This window comes from Homo sapiens, chromosome 9, assembly GCF_000001405.40.
Source record: "Homo sapiens chromosome 9, GRCh38.p14 Primary Assembly".
In the NCBI taxonomy this organism is placed as follows: Eukaryota; Metazoa; Chordata; class Mammalia; order Primates; family Hominidae; genus Homo; species Homo sapiens.
In genome coordinates this window covers 110,317,367-110,343,780 of record NC_000009.12, presented here as the reverse complement: position 1 = coordinate 110,343,780, position 26,414 = coordinate 110,317,367, and the positions used below count along the sequence as shown (strand labels likewise).

At 40.3% G+C, this 26,414-nt stretch overlaps 1 protein-coding gene and 1 long non-coding RNA gene across 11 annotated transcripts in view; one reads left to right on the top strand and one right to left on the bottom strand.

Moving 5' to 3' along the window:
• Window positions 1–5,138: 5,138 nt before the first annotated feature.
• LOC124902245 (uncharacterized) lies at window positions 5,139–7,577 on the bottom strand. Its single transcript, XR_007061728.1, has 2 exons — window positions 5,544–7,577; window positions 5,139–5,256 (listed from the first exon to the last, which is right to left on the bottom strand). It is a non-coding gene; the product is annotated as an uncharacterized LOC124902245 (long non-coding RNA).
• The window catches only part of TXNDC8 (thioredoxin domain containing 8), a 36,633-nt gene continuing 16,136 nt past the window's right edge, over window positions 5,918–26,414 (top strand). For 6 of the 10 annotated variants that reach the window (XM_017014583.2, XM_017014579.2, NM_001364963.2 and 3 more), the window contains exons 1-4: window positions 5,918–6,008; window positions 9,461–9,565; window positions 14,490–14,549; window positions 17,541–17,606. In XM_017014583.2, coding sequence (XP_016870072.1) covers window positions 5,985–6,008; window positions 9,461–9,565; window positions 14,490–14,549; window positions 17,541–17,606 — 255 coding nt within the window. In that variant the 5' untranslated portion in view covers window positions 5,918–5,984. Of the gene's footprint in view, window positions 6,009–6,175; window positions 6,257–9,460; window positions 9,566–14,489; window positions 14,550–17,540; window positions 17,607–19,779; window positions 21,321–26,414 lie in introns of those variants that run through there. The other 4 variants (XM_017014582.2, NM_001286946.2, NM_001286947.2 and 1 more) reach the window with 3 other exon arrangements.

Genomic DNA, 26,414 nt, shown 5'->3' with positions numbered 1-26,414 from the left:
ACGATCAGAATCTACAAAGTTTTAGATAATGATGTACATGTTTGTCCTCACTATGATCAATTTCTGCATATCTCACAACAGCACACAAAGATACAGCCTACAAAAGCCAGAGGCATGAGTTTGCCCCATGCTGGCGATAATTGCCGTTAATACTACATAACTCAATTTTGTGGAACATTTTGTCCTTGGCATAGGTTTTGCACATGTAAATTCATTCATGGCCCTTAATGCACATTGCAGGGGATGAATGAAGAGTGAGAATGGTCTTTTCTGTCTTGGTATTTTGTTCAGTTCTTGGCCTCGTGGATTTCTTTTTCTCCACACTTTTCAAGATGTGCACTATCCATGGTATCCAACCCCTCAACTCCTGCTCAATAACCTGGGGCCAGCACTGAGTGCCCTTCAATTAATAGAGCTTTTTCTGGTCCTGTCCTTGAGATCAGCTACTGGCCCAGGGACCTAGCAGAGTTTTGCTTCCTAACAATAAGGAGGGTCACTGAAGGTTATAAATGTATCAAGGAGCCCCATGTTCATGTTGAGATTCCAAGTAAACTGACTAATTTTGTTTTTCGGGGTTTTGTTGTTGTTTTGAGACAGAATCTTGCTCTTTTACCCAAGCTGGAGTGCAGTAGCATGACCATGGCTCTCTGTAGCCTCGACCTCCCAAGATCAAACAATCCTCCCTCCTCAGCCTCCTGAGTAGCTGGGACTACAGGCATGCAGTAGTCCCAGCTAATTTTTTTAATTTTTTGTGGAGATGGTATCTCGCCATGTTGCCCAGGCTGGTCTCAAACTCCTGGGCTCGAGCAATCTGCCTACCTCAGCTTCCCAAAATGCTGGGATTACAGTCATGAGCCACTGTGCCCAGCCACTAATTTCAAATAAACTTTTTTTTTCTGACAAATAAATCAATTTGTTGCAGTTGACTACTTGGCATTTAGGAAGAGCGGTTGTTGAATTTATCATCAACATTACAAGGCTAATGTTTAGCTGACACACACAGGAATGCTCATAGCAGTTGTTAAATTATTGAAATACATAATGGTTGATAAATAGGCTCTGCCCCCCCCACCCTATTCCCACGTCCTACCTCACTGAGGCTGACCTAATCTGTTCCCTAGGACACACTGGATCTCCCCCAAATCCAGAAACTAAAAGGGTTTATGCCTGGCAAAGCAATTAGCTGAGTAGATGCATAGCTGTTGCTCATTCTGACTGATCATCATCCAAGCCACTCAAATTGTTAAATATTTTGAATAATAATCCTGAGCCATCACGGTGTCGAAGACATGATACACCTGAGCAACATAAACCCATCCAGTGGTTTAAAAAAAAAAACTAGCCCAGCGGTTCTCAAACTTGAACAGGCAGCAGCATCATCTGGGGAGCTTGTTAAAACATACACTGTCAGCCCTACCCTCAGAGATTCTGAGTCAGCGGGTCCAGGGTGGGGCCTGGGAATTGGCATTTCTCACAGTTCTCAAGTGGTGCTGATGCTGCTGGTTCACAGGTCCACAGGTCCACAGAACAGTTCTCTGTTAGAAATTCTGTCTCCAGAACAGTGCTTCTCAAACATCAATGTTCACAAGAATCACACAGATTATAATTCAATGGATCTGGGGTGGAACTAGAAGTTCTATAGTTCTATCAAGCTCCCAGGTGACGCTAATGTCTATATATGACCACGTAATGAAAGTCTTACTTATATGTTTTCTGGTTTTCTTTTGTTTTTGTTTCTTTTTTTTTTTTTTTTTTTTTTTGAGACAGAGTGTCACTCTTTCACCCAGGCTGGAATGCAGTGGTTCAATATCAACTCACTGCAGCCTCCACCTCCTGGGTTCAAACATTTCTCCTGCCTCAGCCTCCTGAGTAGCTGGGATTACAGGCACATGCCACCAGGCCTGGCTAATTTTTGTATTTTTGGTATACTGAGACGGGGTTTCACCATGCTGGCCGGGCTGGTCTCGAACTCCTGACCTCAAGTGATCCACCCACCTCGGCCTCCCAAAGTGTTGGTATTACAGGTGTGAGCCATCACGCCCAACCCCTAATTATAAGTTCTTTATCCTCTCTCTATAATTACTTTTTCACCCTTCTTTCATTTAATTTTTAAACTTTGCTTTGCCTTCTTTTGCTCTTCCTTTCTCCCTTTTCCTCTTACCAGTTTTCTTCTCCTCCTTTCCTTTCTCTTTTTACTTCTTTTCTTTCCAGTCTGTTTTTCTTGTAGATTTTTCAAGATTTAAAATTCCCAACCCACTCTCAGGATTCTCTTCCTGGTTAAATTTTTTAAAAAACAAAATAAAAACAAAAACAAAAAATGCAACCCTCACTACTCAAAAAGAGACTCCACCCAGACTGTTCTGGAGCTTTGTGAGTCCAACGAAGTAAGAAATTAGTCTAGGGAAACAAAGAAGGCAGTCAAGTGCAAAGGGAAAGCCCAGATGGCTCTTTTCTAGAAAATACTAGGCCAGGAGCCTTTTTCCAGGACTAGAAATTTGCCATGCTTACTGACTAGCTCTCTCTGTCTGCAAAACATAAAAAAATATCAATTTTAGTGAATTTGGCCATTTTCTGGATTGTAGTAGTGTTTATTCTAGTTGAGAATAAATAAACCTCTGTGAGCCATCAGCTTGTACTCTCCCTGTCCTTGGGCTAGGCAAGCTTCTTAGCAGCAAATTCCATGAAAAAGTCTACAAGCCCTAGCACTGAAAGGTAGACGTACTGGCCCAGCCTTGCTTGACTTCCAGAAACCCCAGGGACATGACCAGGGTTTGTTGGTGTAGCAGCTGTGTCTGAGCGTTCGTTATGAACCATCTTCTTTTCAAATGCTGTGGAGAGAAGTTCAAGAAGAGCTAATTCCACAAGAAAAAGGAGAATGGAAATGGTAGGTGTCTTCCTGGTGCAGAGAAAAAAGGAATTCACTCTGAATTCAGATCATCCAGTGCTAAATGGCTTTCTTAGAGACCTATATATTTTAGCCGACCCTGTGTTCCTTCCTACATGAGAAGCAACCCAGGCTTGGATTCCAAATTAATTCTACCAATCGTAAGTTATCGAAACTTGCTGTACCTGGACCATCTTACCTGTAGATGGACACAGTTACCTTAGCTAACTGGGCACTTATAAGATGTATGAAAATAATGCTTACAATGGAGCTCACACTTTGAAGTAGCGGTTTTCCAGTGGGGACAATTTTGCCCCCCTGGAGACACTTGTGGTTATTACCACTTGGAGGTGCTACTGACATCTAGTGGGTAGAAGTCAGGAATGCTGCTAAACAGCCTACAATGCACAGGACAGCCCCCTATAACAAAGCATTATTGGCCCAAAGCGTCAGAAATGCTGTGGTTAAGAAACCCTGCTTGGAAGATGTTCAGTTTGTGTCAACATCCATTTTTCCTTCTTGAATGAAAATGAGAGAAAAGATGGAGGAGAAATAGATGAGGATAAGCTCTACAATATATAAGCATGAATAAAATTTCTGGCTGTGATGGAGGATGCATCCCAGTGAAAACGAGAGAGAACAAGCAATGAACAAAGACATTGAAAATACTTCAAGTACCTTTTTTAATTTTTTAAGCCAAAATTGACAAATGGGATCTAATTAAACTAAAGAGCTTCTGCACAGCAAAAGAAACTATCATCAGAGTGAACAGGCAACCTACAGAATGGGAGAAAATTTTTGCAATCTACTCATCTGACAAAGGGCTAATATCCAGAATCTACAATGAACTCAAACAAATTTACAAGAAAAAAACAACCCTATCAACAAGTGGGCGAAGGATATGAACAGATACTTCTCAAAAGAAGACATTTATGCAGCCAAAAGACACATGAAAAAATGCTCATCATCACTGGCCATCAGAAAAATGCAAATCAAAACCACAATGAGATACCATCTCACACCAGTTAGAACGGCGATCATTAAAAAGTCAGGAGACAACAGGTGCTGGAGAGGATGTGGAGAAATAGGAACACTTTTGGGCTGTTGGTGGGACTGTAAACTAGTTCAACCATTGTGGAAGTCAGTGTGGCGATTCCTCAGGGATCTAGAACTAGAAATACCATTTGACCCAGCAATCCCATTACTGGGTATATACCCAAAGGATTATAAATCATGCTGCTATAAAGACACATGCACATGTATGTTTATTGCGGCACTATTCACAATAGCAAAGACTTGGAACCAACCCAAATGTCCAACAATGATAGACTGGATTAAGAAAATGTGGCACATATACACCATGAAATACTATGCAGCCATAAAAAAGGATGAGTTCATGTCCTTTGTAGGGACATGGATGAAGCTGGAAAGCATCATTCTCAGCAAACTATCACGAGGACAAAAAACCAAACACCGCATGTTCTCACTCATAGGTGGGAATTGAACAATGAGAACACATGGACACAGGAAGGGGAACATCACACACCGGGGCCTGTTGTGGGGTGGGGGGAGGGAGGAGGGATAGCATTTGGAGATATACCTAATGTTAAATGACGAGTTACTGGGTGCAGCACACCAACATGGCACATGTATACATTTGTAACTAACCTGCACATTGTGCACATGTACCCTAAAACTTAAACTATAATAAAAAAAATTTTTTTGTTAATACGTGTATTAGTCTCTTTTCACGTTGCTGATAAAGACATACCCAAGTCTAGGTAATTTATAAAGAAAAAGAGGTTTAATAGATTCACAGTTCCATGTGGCTGGGGAGGCCTCACAATTCTGGCAGAAGGTGAAAGTCACGTCTTACATGGCAGCAGGCAAGAGAGAATGAGAGCCAAGCAAATGGGGAAACGTCTTATAAAACCATCAGATCTCATGAGATGTATTCACTACCATGAGAACAGTATGGAAGAACTGCCCCCATTATTCAATTATCTCCCACCGGTCCCTCCCACAACCCTTGGGAATTATGGGAGCTACAATTCAAGATGAGATTTGAGTGGGGACACAGCCAAACCATATCAATACATAATACTTCTACGTATTTATGGGGTACATGTGATATTTTGTTACATGCATACTTCAAATACCTCTACAGAGGCAGCCACTGTCTCCATCTGACAGTTTTCATGCAACACATGATTGAAGGCCCAGAGCTGCATATATAGAAAAACAGAAAGAAGGATTTTGCTATTTTTGTTTTATTATAGAATCTACTATTTCTCATTTTGGTTGTTCTTGTTGCTCTGTAGATTTGAAGAACATTGGCCATGGTCATGTTCAGAATTTTTCTGACATCAGTTCTGAAAATGGCAAATCATCAAGTGCAGGGGTCAGCAAACTGCTGCTGTTCTTTGTACATCCTACTAGCTGCGAATGGTTTTTACATTTTTTAAAGGTTGCAAAAACATAAGGAACATGCAACAAAGACTGTATGAGGCCCATAAAACTAAAATAGTATCTGTTCCCTTAGAGAAAACATTTGCCAACCCTTGATCTAGAGCATAAAAGTGACATTTCTTTACTCTCTAAATAATTAGAGCAAAATAACAAAGTTCAGGGAATTTATGACTCATGAAATCAAACTTACAGGAAACTCATTATTATAGGGTTAAGACTTTAGTATTTTTCTCAACAGCAAAATCTTCAAATTCTTAAGTGAAAATCTCATCTATTTAATATTACTCTGCTTACTTCTCATTTGGTGATGGGATGGAGGGATTAGAGAAGGGAGAAGGATATTTAGAAATAGGTTATAAAAGATGAAAATAAAGCAAACACATTACTGATTCTGCATATAAAGCCCTCAGTTTTCTGATTCTTGGCTGTCCACAAATGAACTAGTCATGGCATAAAAGTGAAATAGGATCCAAAGTCTGCCAAAGTTCCAGGTTCTGAGATGACATGTTTAATGATGTCATAGAGAAGTTATCCATGTATTCCAGGCAGGATACTGTAATAAATAGGAGACAGCTACAGTGATCCAACTAAACCAACAGGGGATTTTCATCAGCACTTCCCTGGTGTAATCATGGTACAGATTATTAAAGACACGGCAAGTATTTATTTGGCTTCACTGAGTATTTCAAATGTGGACATCTTGGGAACAGATTTGAAAAACTTTAAGAATGTGTTCTCTCTATCCAGTATTCTATCATTGCATTGTAGCAAGGGGAGAGTTCTAAATTCTTGTTCTTTATCTTGTTCCTTGAGGGATGGTACTATCAAGAAAAGCAGCCAAGGGTCAAATTGATAAAGAAGGGCTTTCTTCCTCCTGGACTTTTATTTCCTGCCTGACTTCAGGTGAATCCCAGACCAGCTCCTAGTACATCCCATCCTGTATCTGATCCCATGGATCGTACCTCAGTTGTGCTTGGAAAATTCCATGGAAGTAAGGAAGTCCACATCTTTTCTCTTATCCAAGGAAAAATAATAGAAACCCCAGATGTGGAATGGGGTGGGAAAATTGGGAACAGCCCAATGTTGCTGTCACAACAAATCTAAATTCATGTATAGGACAGAGATAATTCTTGATTTATAAAGGAGAAAATTGCCTCTAAAAGAGAGGTTCAGGGCTAGTTCGTTTAAGAGGTGGTGTGGGCATTAGAACCCAGACCTTCTGATGCCTGCCCTCATTACAAGAAGTCAAGAGCTGGAGGAGGGGAGGGGGTTTGGGGCCTGAGCCTCATGTCCACCAGCAGCCTCAGATTTAGACTTGTGACATTTTCCCCAAAGGTGGCTATACAGATCACAAAAATGACACTGACCAGATTGAAAGAGAGTACTGCCCTGTAACTTCGACATAAGAACATGTTTTGAAACATCACACATTTGCTAATGCTTTTGACACTTATTGTTTTAATATTCTGGGGATGTCACAGAATAGCCTGGAGCCTTATTCCCTCAGAAGACCTTTCATCTCCTCCCCAGGGACCTTTCCAGAGGCCCTGATCTCCATCCCATCTTTATTCAGATGCCACCTTCTCTTTGAGGTTGACCTTGGCCATCCAGACTACAGTTGTAATCCAACCCCCATTCTTCCTTCCTACTTCATTTTCTTTTTATTTTCTTTATTAGCAATTAGCACTAATATACTACAAATATTACCTATTGACCTTATAGTAAGCTTCCCATTCTAAAATGTAAACTCCATGGAGACAGAATGCCTAGTTTTTGTTTTGTTTTGTTTTGTTTTTGTCCACAGTGGTATCCTAGCAGTTTGTGCAGTAGCTGGCATAGTATAGGCCTCAATACGCATATGTTAAATAAATACCTATACTATGAGAGTATTCCCTTCAGATAGTTTAGTCAAGTCAAGTTCATGGGTCCAATTAGGCCAGCTCACACCCAAACAACAACTACTGGAAAGTGAAGAGTGTTGGGAGTTTGTGAGGATAGCATCTACCTTACAACTTCAGAAGCAAGTGAGAAATAAAGGCTTGGCAAGGTTCTCTGAAAAGTTAGTTACTCCCTCCCAGAGGAATATTGATAAAGAAAGAGAGTGCATCTTCTTTGAGTCATCACTTTCACCTGATTGAAACTAAACAAAGTAGCCACATAATTGTCAAGGCTATTATAGAGCAGGCATGTTGTATTAGTCTATTTGCATACTGCTATGAAGAAATGCCCAATACTTGGTAATTTATAAAGAAAAAAAGATCTAATGAACTCACGGTTCCACATGGCTGGGAAGACCTCACAATCATGGTGAAGGCGAAGGAGGGGCAAAGGCATGTCTGACATGGCGGCAGGCAAGACAGCGTGTGCAGGGGAACTGCCCTTTATAAAACCGTCAGATATTTTTAGACTGACTCACTGTCATGAGAACAGCATGGGAAAAACCCACCCCCATAATTCATTTACCTCCCACTAGGTCTCTCCCATGACATGTGGGGATTATGGGAGCTACAATTCAAGATGAGATTTGGGTGGGGACTCAGCCAAACTGTATCACATGTCATTTGTATGGATTAAACCCATCCATAGTGGGAATAGGCCTTGCTTGACTTAATACAATTAACAATCCCATCCCCCTCCTCTTAATGTTCGGTCCAGGAATAAGCACACAATGCAATTAGGGCCAATGAAAGGGAGAATAAGTCCTAATTCTATAATGAACTCAGGAGTGGATTTTCTGTAGTGGTTAAGGAAATAGGAACTGGAGTCAGGCTGCCTAGGATACCAATGCCAGCTACACCACTCACCAGCTAACTGATCATGATAAAGTTAGTGAACTTCACTTTTCTCATTTGTAAAATGGAGATAATAATAGTACACACGTTGTAGTGTTGTTGTAAAGATTATGGGAGAGAATATAGGGCACAGAGTAAATTAGCTACAATTGTTGCAATTCCAGTGAGAAAAGGAAAAGTCTTGAACAGAGTACTATGTATTAGCAAATCATTCATTCATCAAGAAGACACGCAGGCTGGGCGGGGTGGCTCACACCTGTAATCCCAGCACTTTGGGAGACTGAGGTGGGAGGATGGCTTGAGTCCGGGAGGCAGAGTCTGCAGTGAGCTGAGATCGCACCGCTACACCCCAGCCTGGATGAACAGCCAGACCCTGTCACCAAAAAATAAAATTAAATTAAAATAAAAATAAAGAAAACACTCTATGAGCACTTACTCTATGAGTACACTATGAGCACTTATGTGTCAGTTAGGGATCATGGGAGGTACAGGAATGAATCAAGATTAAATCCTGTAAGGACTTGGGGAGATCAATCATGCATGAAATAACTAGTGTAGGACCAGTCACTTGTCATAAAGCAAGCAAATATAGATGCAGTCATCTGAGTCCCAGGAAGGGAAACCTTTATTTACTTAGATGATACAAACAGTTGATGGGAAATTCACTTGACATTCAGCAATAAGCATGTCAAATCCTTAAATGTATAGTTTTAACTGTAGCTGTAATAATGATCACTTCCCCCCCAAAAAACAAGAAATTACTCAAGGTGTGAGATTAATTCTTCTCCTTTTAAAGTTCACTAGTCATGCATGTTTAGGCCCTTGTTTAATAAAAATCCAGTATTATAGATATCCACCCTGAACAGCAGTTCACCTCCACCCTCCAGCCCCCATCCCTCCCTGGCCAACCTGTTTCTCCTCAGAGGTAACCACCGTTATCAACTTCCATTACCAACCTTTTTGGTGCATAGACTTCCATGATTTTTATGTACTTACAAAGAGAAATATATTTGACATGAGGGACATTTAAGGTGGGGTCAGCTAGAGAACAATGGCATGGTACACCTGGTTAAGGTTTTTAAGAACTAACATGGCCAGATAAGGTGGCTCACACCTGTAATCCCAGCACTTTGGGAAGCTGAGGCAGGAGGATCACTTGAGCCCAGGAGTTTGAGACCAGCCTGGGCAGCATAGTGATAACCTGGCTTTAAAAAAACCAAAAACAAAACCAAAACTAATCTGTCATCTTCTTCTCTACAAAATGTCATGAGATTCAGTGATTATGCACATTTCCTCATTTATTTTCTGTTTTCAGAATGAATTTAAAACATTTTTGACAGCTGCCGGACACAAACTCGCAGTGGTTCAATTTTCTTCGAAACGGTGTGGTCCCTGCAAAAGGATGTTTCCTGTTTTCCATGTGAGTACAACCAGTATATATCTCATAGTTTCAGAAGAAATTTAAAGTTCCAGAATATTTTTCCCAGTAATTCTTAAAAGTTTGGCAATTATGAGCCATTCTGGAGCCATAGATTTTTGAAGCACCCTGATTAACTGAAGATAATATACCGAGATCTAATTAGATAATAAGTGTACACACCAGAAGATTAATACTACTTGTCCACAGGTAATTCTGCAAGAACATCCCAAGATGTGCAAAGGAGTCCAATTGTACAAATTAATGGATTCTTCATATTATAGCAATGACATTTTACCAAAGTTTCAAGAGTTCAGAACTTTCAAACACTGGATTAGAATACAGATAAATATGATATTTGTTTTTAAATATAACATAAAAGAATAAATTTCTCCCAATTCTTCAACCTTATTATCAGAACAAACCATATGTCTTTGTTATTTTTCCTACAGCTTTATTGATATATAATTGTTAAATATCTTTATTGAGGTATAATTGTTAAATAAACAAAATCTGTTTATTTAATGTATACAATTGATGTTGGGACATATGTATACACCCATGATATTATCACCACAATCAAAATCCATCACCTCCAAATGAAACCTTGTGTACATCTGCTTTTGTGTGTGTGTGTATGTGTGATAAGAACACTTAACATGGAATCTACACTAAATTTTTAAGTGTGCAACACCCTAATGTTAACTCTAAGCACTATGTTGTATATCACAGTGGTCCCCAACCTTTTTGACACCAGGACCAGTTTTGTGGAAGACAATTTTTCCATGGACTAGGGCTTAGGGTAGGGGGTGCCGGGATGGTTTCAGGAAGAAACTGTTCCGCCTCAGATCATCAGGTATTAAGATTCTCATAAGTAGCGCAACTTAGCTCCCTCACATGCACAGTTCAGAATACGGTTCTTGCTCCTATGAGGATCTAATTCCACGCTGATCTGACAGGAGGCAGAGCTCAGGCAGTAATGACAGCTCACCCACCGCTCACCTCCCGTTGTGCAGCCTGGTTCCTAACAGGCTGTAGACTGGCCCTGGGATTGAGGATGCCTGGTATATCAGATCTCTAGAACTTATCATCCTGTACAACTGTATCTTTACACCCATTAAACAACTCATTTACTCCTTCCCTGTTCCCTGGCAACCTCCATTATATTTTCTGCTTCTCTAAGTTGACTATATTTTACATACTTCATAAAAATTGAATCATGCAGTATTTATTCTATGGTGACTCACTCGTTTCACTTAGCATGATGTCCTCCAGGTCCATACATGTTATTGCAATGAGGCGAATAATACGCCTTGCATGTTCCTTTCTTGTCCTTGATTTACTTTGTAAAATATTCTAGTGAGTTGTAATCATATATTTATATTCAAATCTTTTTCCCACATACACATTGGTTCATGTTTTCATAGTCTCCAAATGAATCTTTTAATATCTATACAATATTTTATCTGGTTAATTTCTGTAATATCCTACATAACAGTTTTTAACATTTTATATATTTATTTTTGGTATAACATACAGCAGAAAGAATCTCAGGGCACTTTTTCTCATTTTTCCTTATTGTATAAAACTTTACATGTTTTTATGGTCACTTTTGTAAAGTTTATTCCTTCAAATGTAAAGACTATACAGCTAAAAATACTCTGGTTTATTTTTAGCAAGGTTTCTAACATTTCTACTTTTTTTAATCCACCTGAGCCTCAGTCACAGCCTGAGTTAATTTTAACCACAGTCACAATCTTTGATATTTAATTCAAAATGAACTTATATTCCAATAGAGAAACTGGCTACATAACATCACAACATCCCTTATCCGCCTAAAATTCTTAGAATATCTAGAAGGGAGGCCAGCCATGGTGGCTGATGCCTGTAATCTCAGCACTTTGGGAGGACAAAGAGGGAGGATTGCTTGGGGCCAGGAGTTCCAGACCACCCTGGCCAACATAGTGAAACCCTGTCTGTATTTAAAAATAAAAAATGAAGAATATTCTGAGGGAACATTTTAGTTTCTGACAGGTCCTACCATGCTGACACTCAAGACTTAGGAAAGAGGATCTCCTTGACTTTGCCACAGAATATCTAGTGTTCAGTTTTTTAACCACTCTTCAGAACAGCACAGACCCACCTGTGGAGATTCTAACTTCGCCATAACCAGTTTTTTCTTGTAATGTTTGAACTTTTGCAAAAGAAGACATTCCTGTATTATGTGTGTAATTTTTTTTAACTCATAGTATATGAGGGGGTTGGAGGAAGACTTTACTTACCCTAGATCAGGGGTCCCCAACCCCCAAGCCATGGATCAGTACCACTCCACAGGTGCATGGCCTATTCGGAACTGGCCACACAGCAGGAGGTGAGCGGCCAGCGAGTAAGCATTACCTCCTGAGCTCTGCCTCCTGTTATATTAGCGGCAGCATTAGGTTTTCATAGGAGTGCAAACCCTATTGTGAATTGCACATGCGAGGGATCTAGGTTGCACCCTCCTTATGAGAATCGAATACCTGATGATCTGAGGTGGAACAGTTTCATCCTGAAACCATCCCCCCACCCCCAGTCTGGGGAAAAAAATGTCTTCCATGAAACTGGTCCCTGGTATCAAAAAGGTTAGATGACTGTATCAGTCAGAGATCAAAGCAAGAAACATAAACCACATTAGAACCAAATTAGAAAAGGATTTTAATACAAGGAATTAAATGCTCATAAAATCATCAGAAGACTGGGTGAATGGGCTTGGGACAGAAACTCCACGAACCACTCTTCAGAGCACCACAGACCCACCTGTGGAGATTCTAACATTGCCATAACCAGAAGTCATGGGAAACGGGAGGCCATGATTGGGAGTTAAAGAACCACCAACAGAGCAGCGGTCAGAGTCAGAAGCAGAATTAGGCAGCTACTACAGCCACCATGGCCTCTGGACATCTAAGAAGTTAATTTCTGGACCCTGAGTCTGGCTGCCACCACTGCTTGCCTCTAGCACAACCAGTACCCATGACCTCACTTTCCACCAAAAAAGAAGAAGAAAATAGCTTCTGTCTCATTTACACTGGCATGCATCTGACTAGTAAAATGAAATTTGCATCCAGAACTCTAGCTGCAAGGGAGGCAAAGAAATCTTCACCACTTTTCCTTTCCAGGCTCTCCAGGATGGTGAAATGGAAGTTAGTTAGCAAAACCATTATTCAAGAGAGGGAAAGAATTCAAGACATTTTCAGACACACAAAAACTAAAAGTTTACTAACCACAGAATCTCTCTGAAGAAATTGCTAATGGATGTATTACAACAAGAAAAAAAAAACAGTGAATCATAAGAAAATGTGGGTTTTAAGAAGTGATTGAAATTATGCAAGAGCAGGGGTCAACAAACTTTTCCTGTAAAAGACAAGATAGAAAACATTTTCAGCTTTGCAGGCCATATGATCTCTGTCACAGTTACTCAACTTTGCTGCTGTAGTGCAAAATCCAGTGACAACACAAAAACAGATGGGCAACTAGTTCCAATAAAACTTTATTTAAAAGAACAGGTAGAGGGATGGATTTGGTCCACAGGGCATAGTTTGCTGATCCTGGGCTAAGAGGATCACTAGGCATAGATCCCTGAAAAGAACATTTCTGGAAAAGGAGAGGCTAAAATTTTGTTGAGAAATTGTATGATGTGATCGGGGGAAGGCAATATGTAGTCTGTGAGGCTTACATATAGTGTGCAATGGAAGTGGCAAAAAATGAGCCTCAAAAAGGAAGCTGAGGCCAGATCAAGTAGGATCTTGTGTTATAACTTAACAAACTGCTGTGGAGAGTCCAATAGGACAATTTTAGGAAGGATTTTGCCACAATCAAATGTGGCATATAGAAAATATTTTTGGAGGTTGCACAAGAATAGATTGGAAAGTCTAAAAGCAGGAAACCCAGAGTGAATGTCAGTAATGATAGGTTTTTCCAAAACTAGAGCAGTGACTTTCAGAGAAAAAGGAAAGATCAAAATTCAGGAAACATTTTAGAGTTAGATCAACAGAAATAAGCGACTAGAAATACATGAGATATGATTTTAAGCAAACAATTCAAAATGCCATCAAGTGTCCTTAAGGTATGAACACAGCTGTCTGAAAAGATACCCAGGAGCTGACATTTACAGGCCACTGTTGTCACTGCTGCTGCTGTGGCTGCTGCCACTTCCTCTTCCCCTAGACCCACTACCAGCACCATGGTCACCGTCACTGCCAAAGATGATTCCAGAACAAAACAGAAGTAGGAGGGAGTTACTTCTTCCCTCCTCCCCTTCCATTTCCTGCAAATACTTCCCATTGGAAGAAGCTAATTGGAAGTCAGCCAGCAATGGAACCTGGAAAATCTAGTTTCCACACATAGTAGAGCACAGAGAGACGGCAACAGGAGTGCAAATAAATTAGGCTAATGGTCAGCATTAAAATGTTGACATCGCTTCAAGCAGAACAGCCTTCTAGCACCAGTAGCACCAGCACCTCCCAAAATGCCAGGCAAGAGAAGGTAGAGTTTGGCTCGGAGAACTGTATCTCAAAGATCACTGAAGACAGACTCCCCCAACTGCTCTCCCAGGAGAAAGCTACTCTACTATCCCTTCCTCCACCCCACAAAGTAAGTCTGGATCCACCACGCACATTCTGTTATGTCTTTGCCAACCTTGAAACTCTAATCTTCAGTTTGGTTCTTTGACTCTGCTTCTGCCACTGGTCCTTACATCATCTGACCTTGGCATCATCTGGTATTTGACTTGATGCTTCAGGCTCTAGGCTGTAGTGAAATGTCAGAATGATGCTTAGTCCTCTTTAACAGCCTTTCTGTTCAATTTTCTTTTCTACTGAAAAGACACTTCCAGTGTGTATTTTAATATTAACACCAAACTAATGGGAAATATTTATTTTTTATTTTGAAGGCTATGTCTGTGAAATACCAAAATGTATTTTTTGCTAATGTGGATGTGAACAATTCTCCGGTAAGAATCTTAAATCTTCTGTGCACATACTCAAAATCCAAAGGCATTGTAATTGAATAGCACTGTCTCAGTAATTATTAATACATGACCAATTTAAAATCAACTAGAATTTTACATTTTTTCTAATAACTACAGTAAACTTCCTCATTATGCTCTTATATGTTTTGTATTACTTAAAAACAAAAAAAAAGATTAGCAAGAAAAAGATTAGCTCTCCTGATACCCCTCTCCCCTCTTATGCTGTGGCAGGCCTCACTAATCAATCCCAGTTTTCTTCACCACTTGCTCTGCGTTCTGCCTCAGAATCCTCCTCAGCAGAGTTGCTCTAGGGAGACAATAGAAATCTGTTAAAGTTGAGCTCAAGGTGAAAGATGGTTTTCATCCCTGTGATGGATTGTTAATCAATTTCTTTATTTGGGGGGTGGGGGACAGAGTTTCACTCTTGTTACCCAGGCTGGAGTGCAATGGCGTGATCTTGGCTCACCATAACCTCCGCCTACTGGGTTCAAGTGATTCTCCTGCCTCAGCCTCCCGAGTCGCTGGGATTACAGGCATGTGCCACCACGCCCGGCTAATTTTGTATTTTTATTAGAGACAGGGTTTCTCCGTGTTGGTCAGGCTGGTCTTGAACTCCCAACCTCAGGTGATCCACCTGCCTCAGCCTCCCAAAGTGTTGGGATTACAGGCGTGAGCCACTGCATCCAGCCTTGTTAATCAACTTCTAAAACCTACCTCAGTGCATTACAGACATCTTAATATATTTTGCTTTTCTCTTGCAATATCTTACGCTTTTTGTGTGTTTTTTTGAAGCATCATAAGAAATTCCCAGAAATCCCTTCTTCCTGTCTCTGGAGCCATCCTTCCTCATCCCATCCCCCCAAAAAATAATCAACCCCATAACCTCAAACAAAGTGTGTCTTATTAATACACACAATGTTTCTACAAAATTATTATTTTAAACATCTGTTAATTTGTAATGATGAGAGGTACCAACAGGTGGTCTATCCACATGTTAGAATGCATTTGAGCTTTAGAATGAAAAAAGTGATATCTACCATTCTGCCCTTTAATGATTTTATGACCCATTATAGTTCAACCTCCATAAACTTCAGTTTCTTCATTTGTAAAACAGGATAATAACACTTAACCGAAGATAAAATGAGATAAAATACATTAAATAAATGACATGGTGCCCAGAGCATAATAGAAGTTCCCTTTCTCCATTTCCTTCAAGCTTCATTAAAGTGTGAGTGTTTAATTGCCCTTTAGGATGAATCATAACCTATAAATTCAGAATACACAGCTAGTATGACTATCTCTTTACCTTTTCTATATTCACAGAGTTGTGCAATCATCACTACAATCAATTTTAGAACACTTTCATCACTCTAAGAAGAAACACTGTACCCTTTAGTAGTTACACCCAATTCCCTCCATCCTCCACCCCCCAATCCTAGGCAACCACAAATCCACAGTAAGCAAAATAGATTTGCTTATTCTGAACATTTCCTATAAAGGGAATCATAGAATATGTGGTCTTTAATCTCTGGCTGCTTTCACTGCATACATTTTCAAGGTGCATTCATATTATAGAATGTATCAGTACTTTGGCCAGGCACAGTGGCTCACACCTGTAATATCAGCACTTTGGGAGGCCCAGATGGGTGGATCGCTTGAGGTCAGGAGTTCAAGACCAGCCTGGCCAACGTGGCGAACCCCCATCTCTACTAAAAATACAAAAATTGGCCAGGCGTGATGATGCACACCTGTAATCCCAGCTACTTGAGAGGCTGAGGCAGGAGAATCGCTTGAACCTGGGAGGCAGAGGTTGCAGTGAGCCCAGATCGCACCATTGCACTCCAGCCAGGGCGACAAGAGCGAAATTCCATCTCAAAAAAAAAAAAATATATAGTATAAACATTAGTGTACAAATTTTTGTGTAAACAAAATTTCCATTTCCCTTGGGTATATATCCAGGATTGGAATTTTGGGGTAATATGGTAACTCTGTGTTTAACTTTCTGAGGAAGTGGCAAACTGTTTTCTAAAGCAGCTGCACCATTTTACATTCTCACCAGCAATGGATGAGAGCTCTGATTTCTCCACATCCTTGCCAACCTGTGTTATTGTCTGGCTTTTTGATTAGAGCTCATTGTCTTTGAAGGTAAAACAAAATGCGTAATTGTCTAATAGTAATTTATGTATCAGTTGTTATCACTGTGTGGTCATGAAAAATTATAATACAGTATGTCTTCACGTGTGTGTGTGTGTGTGTGTGTGTGTGTGTGTGTGCATGAGTAGCAGGGCAAGAGATTTAATGCCAACAAAATGATTGGTATATTAGAGAGAGATGTCCTGTTCTGTTGATCCTGTGGGTGACTAATTTTCTTTTGACTCCTAAACAAGAAAAACAAAAACTAACCTTTGAAAGTAGTTTGAAATAGATTAAAACAATTGGGATTCTGGCATATTTTCTCATATTTTGGCTCCAAATCTTTCACAAAGATTGGCAGTGAAGGACTTAAAAGAAAGACATGTATAAGCCTTACTTAAAATGCTAGATCAGGATGCGTTCCACGTCTCAAGTAGAGTTATAAAGATTTGTTTACTCTTTTCTATTTTTGCAATAAGCTCTTCTTATACTGAGTTCCACTGGGGCCCCTCTGTACTCTTTCACAAGGTCCTTTAAATGCAGCTCATATTGTTATTGAGCATCTATTCTGTTGTGGCCTCCATCTCTTACCCACCTCCTGGTTCTATGGGATGAAAAAGCCCAGGAACGCTGTAACGATCATTTTCTATCAATCATTTTATGTCAATCATTGTGACATTCCTGAAGGAATGTTAGAAAAGTTCATAGCAGGAGAGTCTGTAAAGTGTCAGGTGTCCTTGGAATTTCAGACACGCCTCCTAAAAAGTTACCAAATAACATGCTTGGTACAGAGAGAGGACACCAATACTGTAACTTCATGCCATTTCTTTGCTTTCCCAGGAGCTGGCTGAAACTTGTCACATCAAAACAATACCCACATTTCAGATGTTCAAGAAAAGCCAGAAGGTATGTTTCCAGGGTAACCAGCAGGGTTGAATTAGATTATAGAACCATCAGAGTCCCTCAAAAAAGCCTGGCTGTCCTGGGTGGATGAAATAACTACATTTATTTTTAATGCTTACCAATATAATTCTCTACATACAAGTATGTTGTACTTTACATACAACAACTTTACATACAACTTTACAAAGGGTTAAAAAATGTATGACTTATTAATAAATCTCCCCATTCAGACCATCTGAGGTATCCAAGTCCATAAGTATTTTCCCACTATTATCTCTACACTGGGGCAAAACCATCAAGAAAGACTCTTTTCAGAGAAAGACATTCTGAAATTCTTACAAAAATGTATACAAGTTGCAGGCCGGGCGCGGTGGCTCACGCCTGTAATCCCAGCACTTTGGGAGGCCAAGGCGGGCAGATCACAAGGTCACGAGATAGAGACCATCCTGGCTAACACAGTGAAACCCCGTCTCTATTAAAAATACAAAAATTAGCCAGGCGTGGTGGCGGGCGCCTGTAGTCCCAGGTACTCGAGAGGCTGAGGCAGGAGAATGGCATGAACCCAGGACGCGGAGCTTGCAGTGAGCCAAGATCGCGCCACTGCACTCCATCCAGCCTGGGCGACAGAGTGAGACTCCGTCTCAAAAAAAAAAAAAAAAAAAAAGTGTATACAAGTTTAAACAATACTTGAGGAAATGCTAACCAAAAGCTATCACAAAGCAATATTGCCTAGTGGTTGAGCACGCAGGCTCGGGATTCAGGTTCCCATGATTCACATACTGCTTCTAGCACTTCCTAGCTGTAGCGCCTTGAGTAGTGTATTTAATCTGTTTATATCTTAGTTTTCCTATTTATACATGAATCATAATAAATTTTCCCCTCATAGGGTTGGTGTGATAATTAAATGAATTAACATGACTCAGGTGTTTAGACCCATCCTGGCATTAAGTGCTTACTGTGTTATGTTAGTTATCTTAAAAATATTAATGGAATAAAATGTCTAAAATATTCAGCAAGTTATGAAACTAGTACTTTGTTCTTTTTTTTTCGGGGGTGGGGGGATGGAGTCTTGCAAGGTCACCCAGGCTGGACAGCAGTGGCATGATCTCCCCATCTCAGCTCACTGCAACCTCCGCCTCCTGGGTTCAAGCTATTTTCCTACTTCAGCCTCCCGAGTAGCTGGGATTACAGGCAAGAACCAACATGCCCAGCTAATTTTTGTATTTCTAGTAGAGATGGGGTTTCACCATGTTGGCCAGACTGGTCTCAAACTCCTGGCCTCAAGTGATCCATCCACCTTGGCCTCCCAAAGTAATGGGATTACAGGCATGTGCCACCGCACTTGGTGGAAACTAGCACTTTCTTACATGGCCGGGGGCATTGGCAATTTTCCATACCTTATGAAAGGCGATTTTGCAAACATATGTAGGAGACACAAAATGCTTATTCCGTTTTACACAATTACCCCATTCCTGGGAACTTTCGGTACAGAAATACCTCAAGGAAAAAAAAACAGTTTCATATATAATAATATTTGTAGCACTATATCTAGTTTTAAAAAATGAAAGCAATCTCAATGTCTTTAAGTAAAAAGGCTAAGTAAATTCTGATACATCTACTCCATGAAATAGGATGCAAGCAAAAAAAAAGTTATAAAGAATAATTTAAAGCAAAATGCATGCTTAAGCTTTGTAAAGATTATGTCTGCAGTGTAAAGAATGAAAACATTGGATATGCTAGCTGCAGAATTTTATTTTCAATTTCTAAGTATTTTCTGTAATATAGCTGGTGCAATATATTTAAATTATTTTTTAAAATAACACTACATATTCCCTCATTTGGATTTTTACTTGAAAATTAAAGTTATTTAACATATGCTCCCTCAACTTACCTGACTTAGATGTCCAATTGTCTACATATCATCTTTTATTATCTTCTCCTTCACTCCCATTTCGGAAGTGAGAATGCTTCCTCCTTTCAAAATCAGTTTCATCCATGCAGCTTGATTGCATTCCCTACCTTCTGCTTCAGGCCTCTATCCATCAGTTACTCTCTTTAAAACTTGGAGTTTAGACACTTCTTTTTGGCACCCAGCATCCATTCTCTATTAATAGTACTCTGATTTTCCTCCAAGGAACCACTCCCTTTTGCATTCTTATCCCATGTACTTCCTTAGGGCTCCATCTCCAGGCCTACACCAACCAGTGAACTCCATCCCCATCAGAAATGGACCCTTGACTCCAGTCAAGCCAATCCAAGTCAAACCAGAGCTAATTTCAGGACTTTGCTTAAGCAGCTAGGTAAATAACCTTCTCCTTTGATATCACTGGATTTGAATTTGGGAAGATATGAGTCTGAAGCTACTACAGCTTGTCACCATGTAAAACCTGAAAACGAATCTACCACACAGAAGAAAACAGAGTCAAGCCAAGAGTACTAATGGCATTGACTGCACCCTGAATCTATCCATGCCTGAAGCCTACACTATCCCCATAGATTCTTCAGCTATGTAAACTCTGGGTTGGTTTCTCTGTCACTTGCAACCCAAAAAATTCTGATGAACATATCTGGTGTTCTCCCAGGCTACTCTCCTTCATTTCATGGTGTAATTGTTAAAAGAGTAGAATATATTTGCAGTTTCCAATTCTCATTTTCCACTCATTCCCTCATCTATTTATCTATTTATCTTTCTGTCCTCTCTAAAGTCACCAAGGATCTCCCTGCACCTAATTTAAATAGCCATTTCTCAATTCTTGATTCCTTAGCTACACAGAAGCACCATTAACTAATGAGCTTCTATATTCTGGAAATTTTCTTCTCTTTTGACTTTATCTCTCATCCCTCCCTATGCTCTCCTCTGGCTTGTCTCCTGTTATAGTCAAATATATCCGTTTTGGATATCTATCTTTTTGGTTCAATCCATTTCCCATTCTACCTCTCTCCTTTAGCAATGTCATTCCTACTTCTAGTTCCATCTATAAATACTTTTTTACTTAGACAATTGCAATGCCCCCTCCTCACCCTCAACTTAGCACCATATCTCTGTTCTCCAGATTTGTGCACAGCTCCCTGTATGGCATCCTTTTTTAACATGTGATGTCCTCCCCCTCCATTGCCTATAGAATCAAGGCTAAACCATTGTATTTAAGGCTGGCATTCAAGTTTCTCCATAATTTTGACCCAATCTACTGCTCCAAGCCTTTCTCTGTTTAACTCAGATCTTCATGTATTTTTCTCATACTAGTCCAAGCACCTGAAGGAGGTCATGTCTGATTTGAAAGCTCAGTGACTAGAAGAATCCCAAGTGGATAGAAAATACTCATGATGTGTGTGATGAATGAGTGAGTGCATGAATGAATGAATGAATGCTTCTGTTTTTTCCCTGCATCCCACTGCCAGCTCAGCCTCTCCTCCTGATTCTGTCCTGGTACCAACCTGATTCAGGGCAAGTTTCTCTCCAGTTCAGTATAATTTTCTGGTTTTATTCCTGCTGCTGCTGATATTGTTTGGTAGCTGCTGCCACTCAACAGTTTTTACTCCATTTTATGATGACACAAGACTCTGAGTTCTCAACTGATTTTGTGTCTATGCTCTTGAACCAATTCAAGCTATGCTTTTGAGGAAAGGCATGGCCCTGCTTGGTCTCAATTCTGTATGGGGATGGAAGTGCCCTCAATAAGCTGGGGAGAGAGGACATTTATAAACAATTATATCTAACTGGTCTCTAATGGATATGTATCTCTTTTGAATTGATAGATCCTGCATTCCAGAGATCACTAAAGATCTCAAATCTGAATTTTCTGCCAGGCAGCTATTAGAAAACAAATTAAACCATTAAGATGATTACACTTCCATATTCTAATTCCAGGGTCACCCAACAAGCCTCTGATTATAATGTGGATACTCATATCTCAAGAAGTTTTATTGAGGATTCAATTTATCATTGAATATTAGTAACTTAGCATCCTGGTTATGAATTTAAAAAAAAAAAAACTTGAGACCATTTATGTCACATTATACAAATGACTCTACTTCTAAACGTTTTGTACATCGTAATCATATCTTTGACAGATTCATACCTGGATCAATTTAGATATAATTTGAAAACCTCCAGAAAAATTTGTAATACTGACTTCATTTGACAAAGAATATCAATTTTCTATGCAAAAGATACAAAAAGGAGGAGGAGATCCTAAAGAGAGAGTATTACAAATCGTTTACCTCTTGTGACTCAGACTGCAGGATTTGGTATCTGAGCAGCACTGTCAGGGTCAGTGAGGTCCCCACTTCTACATTGCCTCCAGAGCTGCAGTTAAGCCATGACACCTCTGAAACTCTCCCCTGGTCTTACCTCACAGTGACCTGCAAGGAAAGTCACTAGAACCAGAGGAGGCAGGTTTGGATGGCCAGCCAAAAAGACATGTTCCTATAAATTTCCTTTTTTTTTTTTTTTCATAGAACTGACTAGGAAGGTGTCCGTGAACATCCACTGTTTTCCTGGTGGGTCAAGAAAAATCAAATGCACTTTTTTGAGGACTACCTCCATAAATGTGCTCCTCTCTTTTATCTGGGACAGCGCAACTGAAAACTGACTTATTGAAGCAGTTAAGTACTGTGTGTCCTTTATTATTTTAAAAAATAAAACCTAGAGTTCAGTTCCTATTAAGGCTTCTTACAAGAAATGTCTTACATTTCTGATAAAACATCTGGCAAAGAGCCACTTGTCCATTATACCCTTTTAAATGTACATTGTATAAAAAGCTTTATGATAATTTCTCCCAGAACACAAGAGTTAGGAGAATACTCACCTCCCTTGAAAGCATGGCTCTCTTCTCTGCATTGGATCAGAAAAGTTAGGGAATCCCTTGGGCTTCTCTTTTTGCCATGGCCGCCAAGAATCTCAGGATTGCCTCCTCTGCTCAAACACAGTAATCTCCCTTACCAGCAGTTTCCTGGCACTCCCTATCAGCCACCCCCACACTGCAACATCCTTGAATGGTTTCATTATTTTTTCTTCCCCTTGATTCTAGCTCATTTCAATTATTTTCAAAGTATATAAAACATCAATAAAATAGAACTTGAAAAAACTAAAACAAACAAAGCTATATACACTGACCTAGGACCATGGCAGATTATGGGCCATCCCTGGTTGCTGAAGTTTTCATGCAGAGATTGAATGAACATCTGGCAGGGATGCAATATAAGCAGTGGCTGAAGTTATGTCCTAGTTCTAGGGCAAAGAAGAGCCTAAGCAAATTCCAGGTAATAAATAAGGGGAGCTTGTTCCTTCCTGCTGTACTCCTTAGTGTTTTCATCTAGGACATCACACCATGTTTCAGGAAGATTAATTGTGGTGAATAAGATCATTCCTGTGGTTTCTTCCAGATGGGGGACCCAAAACTTTGTCTGGTCTTTGTAACCAGAATATTAAACTGCATTCTCTTGTAAGTTGTTCATAAATTGGATTTATAGACCCTCTTAAAATCTAATAAAGGCTATGAACCGTCTCCATCCGGACAAAAGAACATAGGCACATAAACTAAAATGTGAGATAATACTAGGATATTCAGTGACCGTCTGAAGCCTATCAGTGGATCCCCAAAGTGAATAACTTTGGTTGTAGACCCATTGTATTAATCCGTTCTCATGCTGCTAATAAAGACACACCTGAGACTGGGTAATTTACACAGGAAAGAGGTTTAATTGATTCACAGCTCCACATGACCAGGGAGGCCTCAAAATCATGGTGGAAGGCAAAGGAGAACCAAAGGGATGTCTTATATGATGGCAGGCAAGAGGGTGCATGCAGGGGAACTCCCCTTCATAAAACCATCAGGTTCTCATAAGACTTATTCACTATCACGAGAATAGCACAGGAAAGACCCGCCCCCATGATTCAATTACCTCCTGCTAGGTCCCTCCCATGACACATGGGAATTATCGGAGCTACAACTCAAGATGAGATTTGGATACACAACTCATGGTTGGTGTATGTCTATGGAGTAGGGAAAGAGAAACCAAGAATTAGCAAGTTTGGGGCAACTGCTTAAATATAAGCCAACCATCAAAAGTTGACTCCATCTTTCATTCTTTGATTATAGAATAAAATAGTTTGCCAAAGCACTTAGGTTCACTCATAAGAGAGATGGGATATGAGTACATAGATGCTACTAAACAAATTAGTCACAAATGAATAATTCAGGAAAACCCATCTGCTAGACTGAGCTATCACATAAAGTGGGAGGAAGCTTGTGCCCTTATGTTTATGAACTGTAGGGCTCTTGCTGAGATTATAAAAGTCATTTCAACAGCATGCTCCTTCAAGTAGGTACAGGAATTAAAATAATATCAAAGAGGTGATACCGTGGTATGCTAGAAAGAGGACAAGATTGGAAGCAAGGGTCACACACTCTGTTTCTTCAAGGACCAAGTAGGGACAATAAGGTAAACAATACTTTTGAGGAAGATGTTGGTGCCTGGAGAATCACGTTCCCAACTTCTCTCTGTTCAACTTCATAAAACACAGTGCTTGATCCATCTCCCAAAAGAGCATCTTCAGTAAGTTTTTGCCATCTATAGAGTCAGACAACTGCAGGTTGAGCCCCAGGTCTGCCTCTTATTAGTGGCAATGTACCATAACCACCTTGAGGCTTAGTTTCCTTCTCTGTAAAATGAGGACACCACCTATGTTTAAACAACTGTCAGACAAATTTGTGATATTGTATCTAAAGTGCCTAGCACTGGACTTGGTAAATACTAGAAGATGTAGCTATCATTAGAGTCCCAGGATCTAGCTGTGCACGGCCATCTCTCTGAAAATGTATAAATAAATAGTAATTTAGAAATAAAGTTTATGAAGACCTCTAAGGCTCTTTCAATAACTACAACATCCATTTAAGCTAAGTCATCTTAGCATTCAGGGGTTGCCTACCCAATAATATTTAACCTGTCAAGGATTGTGTTACACACAGAGATGTTCTGCATGAGGAAAAAAAGAAACCTCTTACGTGCAGGACTCTAAAGGGTGCAGATCCCTAAAAGGGGTTCCTATCAACTCCATAAACAGTTGATGCACTGGCAGAGATTGACTGGGGGTCGGGGGGCAAGAACTAAGTGAGATGGAACAAAAGTGGGCAAAGTGTAGTAACTATTTAGAAACATCTAGCAACCTTCAGCACCTTTGCTAAAGATGCTGCTCTCTGCTTTGACAGTTCAAAGGCTCACATGTGTCTCTTCTCCCAGGCAGGGATTAGGGTGCAGCAAGCAAGTCAGGATATGACAAGTGCAGGATTAAATCTTACCTTTATTTAAATTTTTGATATTTTGTTCATCATGTATTTTTTGCACTGAGTTTTAATACTTTTATATAATACTTATTAACATAATATTTATGTTGATTACTGAGTTTTGGCAGCTACCCCTTAAAATTTTTTTTTTTTTTAGACGGAGTCTTGCTCTGTCGCCCAGGCTGGAGGGCAGTGGCACTATCTCAGCTCACTGCAAGCTCCGCCTCCCGGCTTCACGCCATTCTCCTGCCTCAGCCTCCCAAGTAGCTGGGACTACAGGTGCCAGCCATGATGCCTGGCTAATTTTTTGTATTTTTGTAGTAGAGACAGGGTTTCATCGTGTTAGGCAGGATGGTCTCGATCTCCTGACCTCGTGATCCACCTGCCTCGGCCTCCCAAAGGGCTGGGATTACAGGCGTGAGCAACCGCGCCTGGCCACCCCTTAAATTTTTTACCCCAGTACCTACCCTGCTCTTCTCCTCTGAATTTTAAGTTGTTGAAATATAGGAGTGATATGTTTGGTGATTCACCAGAAGGACTTACAAGACCCAATCACAAGTTATATTCATAACTAAGATTTAGTACAGCAAAGAATACAGAGAAAAAGCGCAGAAAAAAAAGATATGCATTGATGGAGTCCAGAAAGGTCCAGCAGAGACTTCTGAGGTCTTTCCTTGTCAGACACATAGGAATGCTCTCTCTCTAGCAATGAACTTCCGGTAGCTATGTGGTATGGCCCTACTTAGGAACACCACTTGGAGCTCAGAGACTGAGGTCTTTGTGGAAGTAGGGGAGTAGTTGTGACATACACTTATCTTGTGCAACCATTGCTACACAACAGGCCATGGCAATAGAAACTCAGAACCCCAACAATAAAACCAGGGGCATATCATCAATATTGATGTGTATGCAAAGCAACTTGACACGCCAGCATGGCATGGTCCATCCCTCCAGGAATATATAACAAAGTCCGTCAATCACCAACACAAGGAACACTTGGAGGGCCACATTTCTAGGGGGTGGTGAAGGGTCAAACATAGTTCTCTTGGAGACACACAAGAAGAAAGCAACCAGACCTGCTGCATTAACTCTTTTCTCCCAAGGAGTCACGTGGCTAATCACAATATCACCTTTATTATAAGTAGTCATAATGCTACACTGTGCTCATTGAACAATGTGGCTGGGATCTATGTCAACAGACTTCCTACTATTCCCTTAAAGCCTAGACATTGGGGTGACCCACCTGTGGGAGAATCTGGGGCTGCAAAGAAGAAACTTACCTGTGCAGGTAAAAGAGGTATTGTTGCTTTGCACAACTATCAAGCCCCAAAAGTGAGGCTATAGTATGATGGCCTTCCAGATCTATCTGGGCAGGTTTAGGGCCCACTTCCCATGTGTTGTGCAGAAAGACAGTGGGAAGAGAGCATACCTGTCCCTTGAGCAGAGCATCCCCAAAAGGAGAGAGGATAGGCACAAGTTCATTCCTTTGTGTCAGCTTAACAGATAAGCTCACCTCTAAACATGG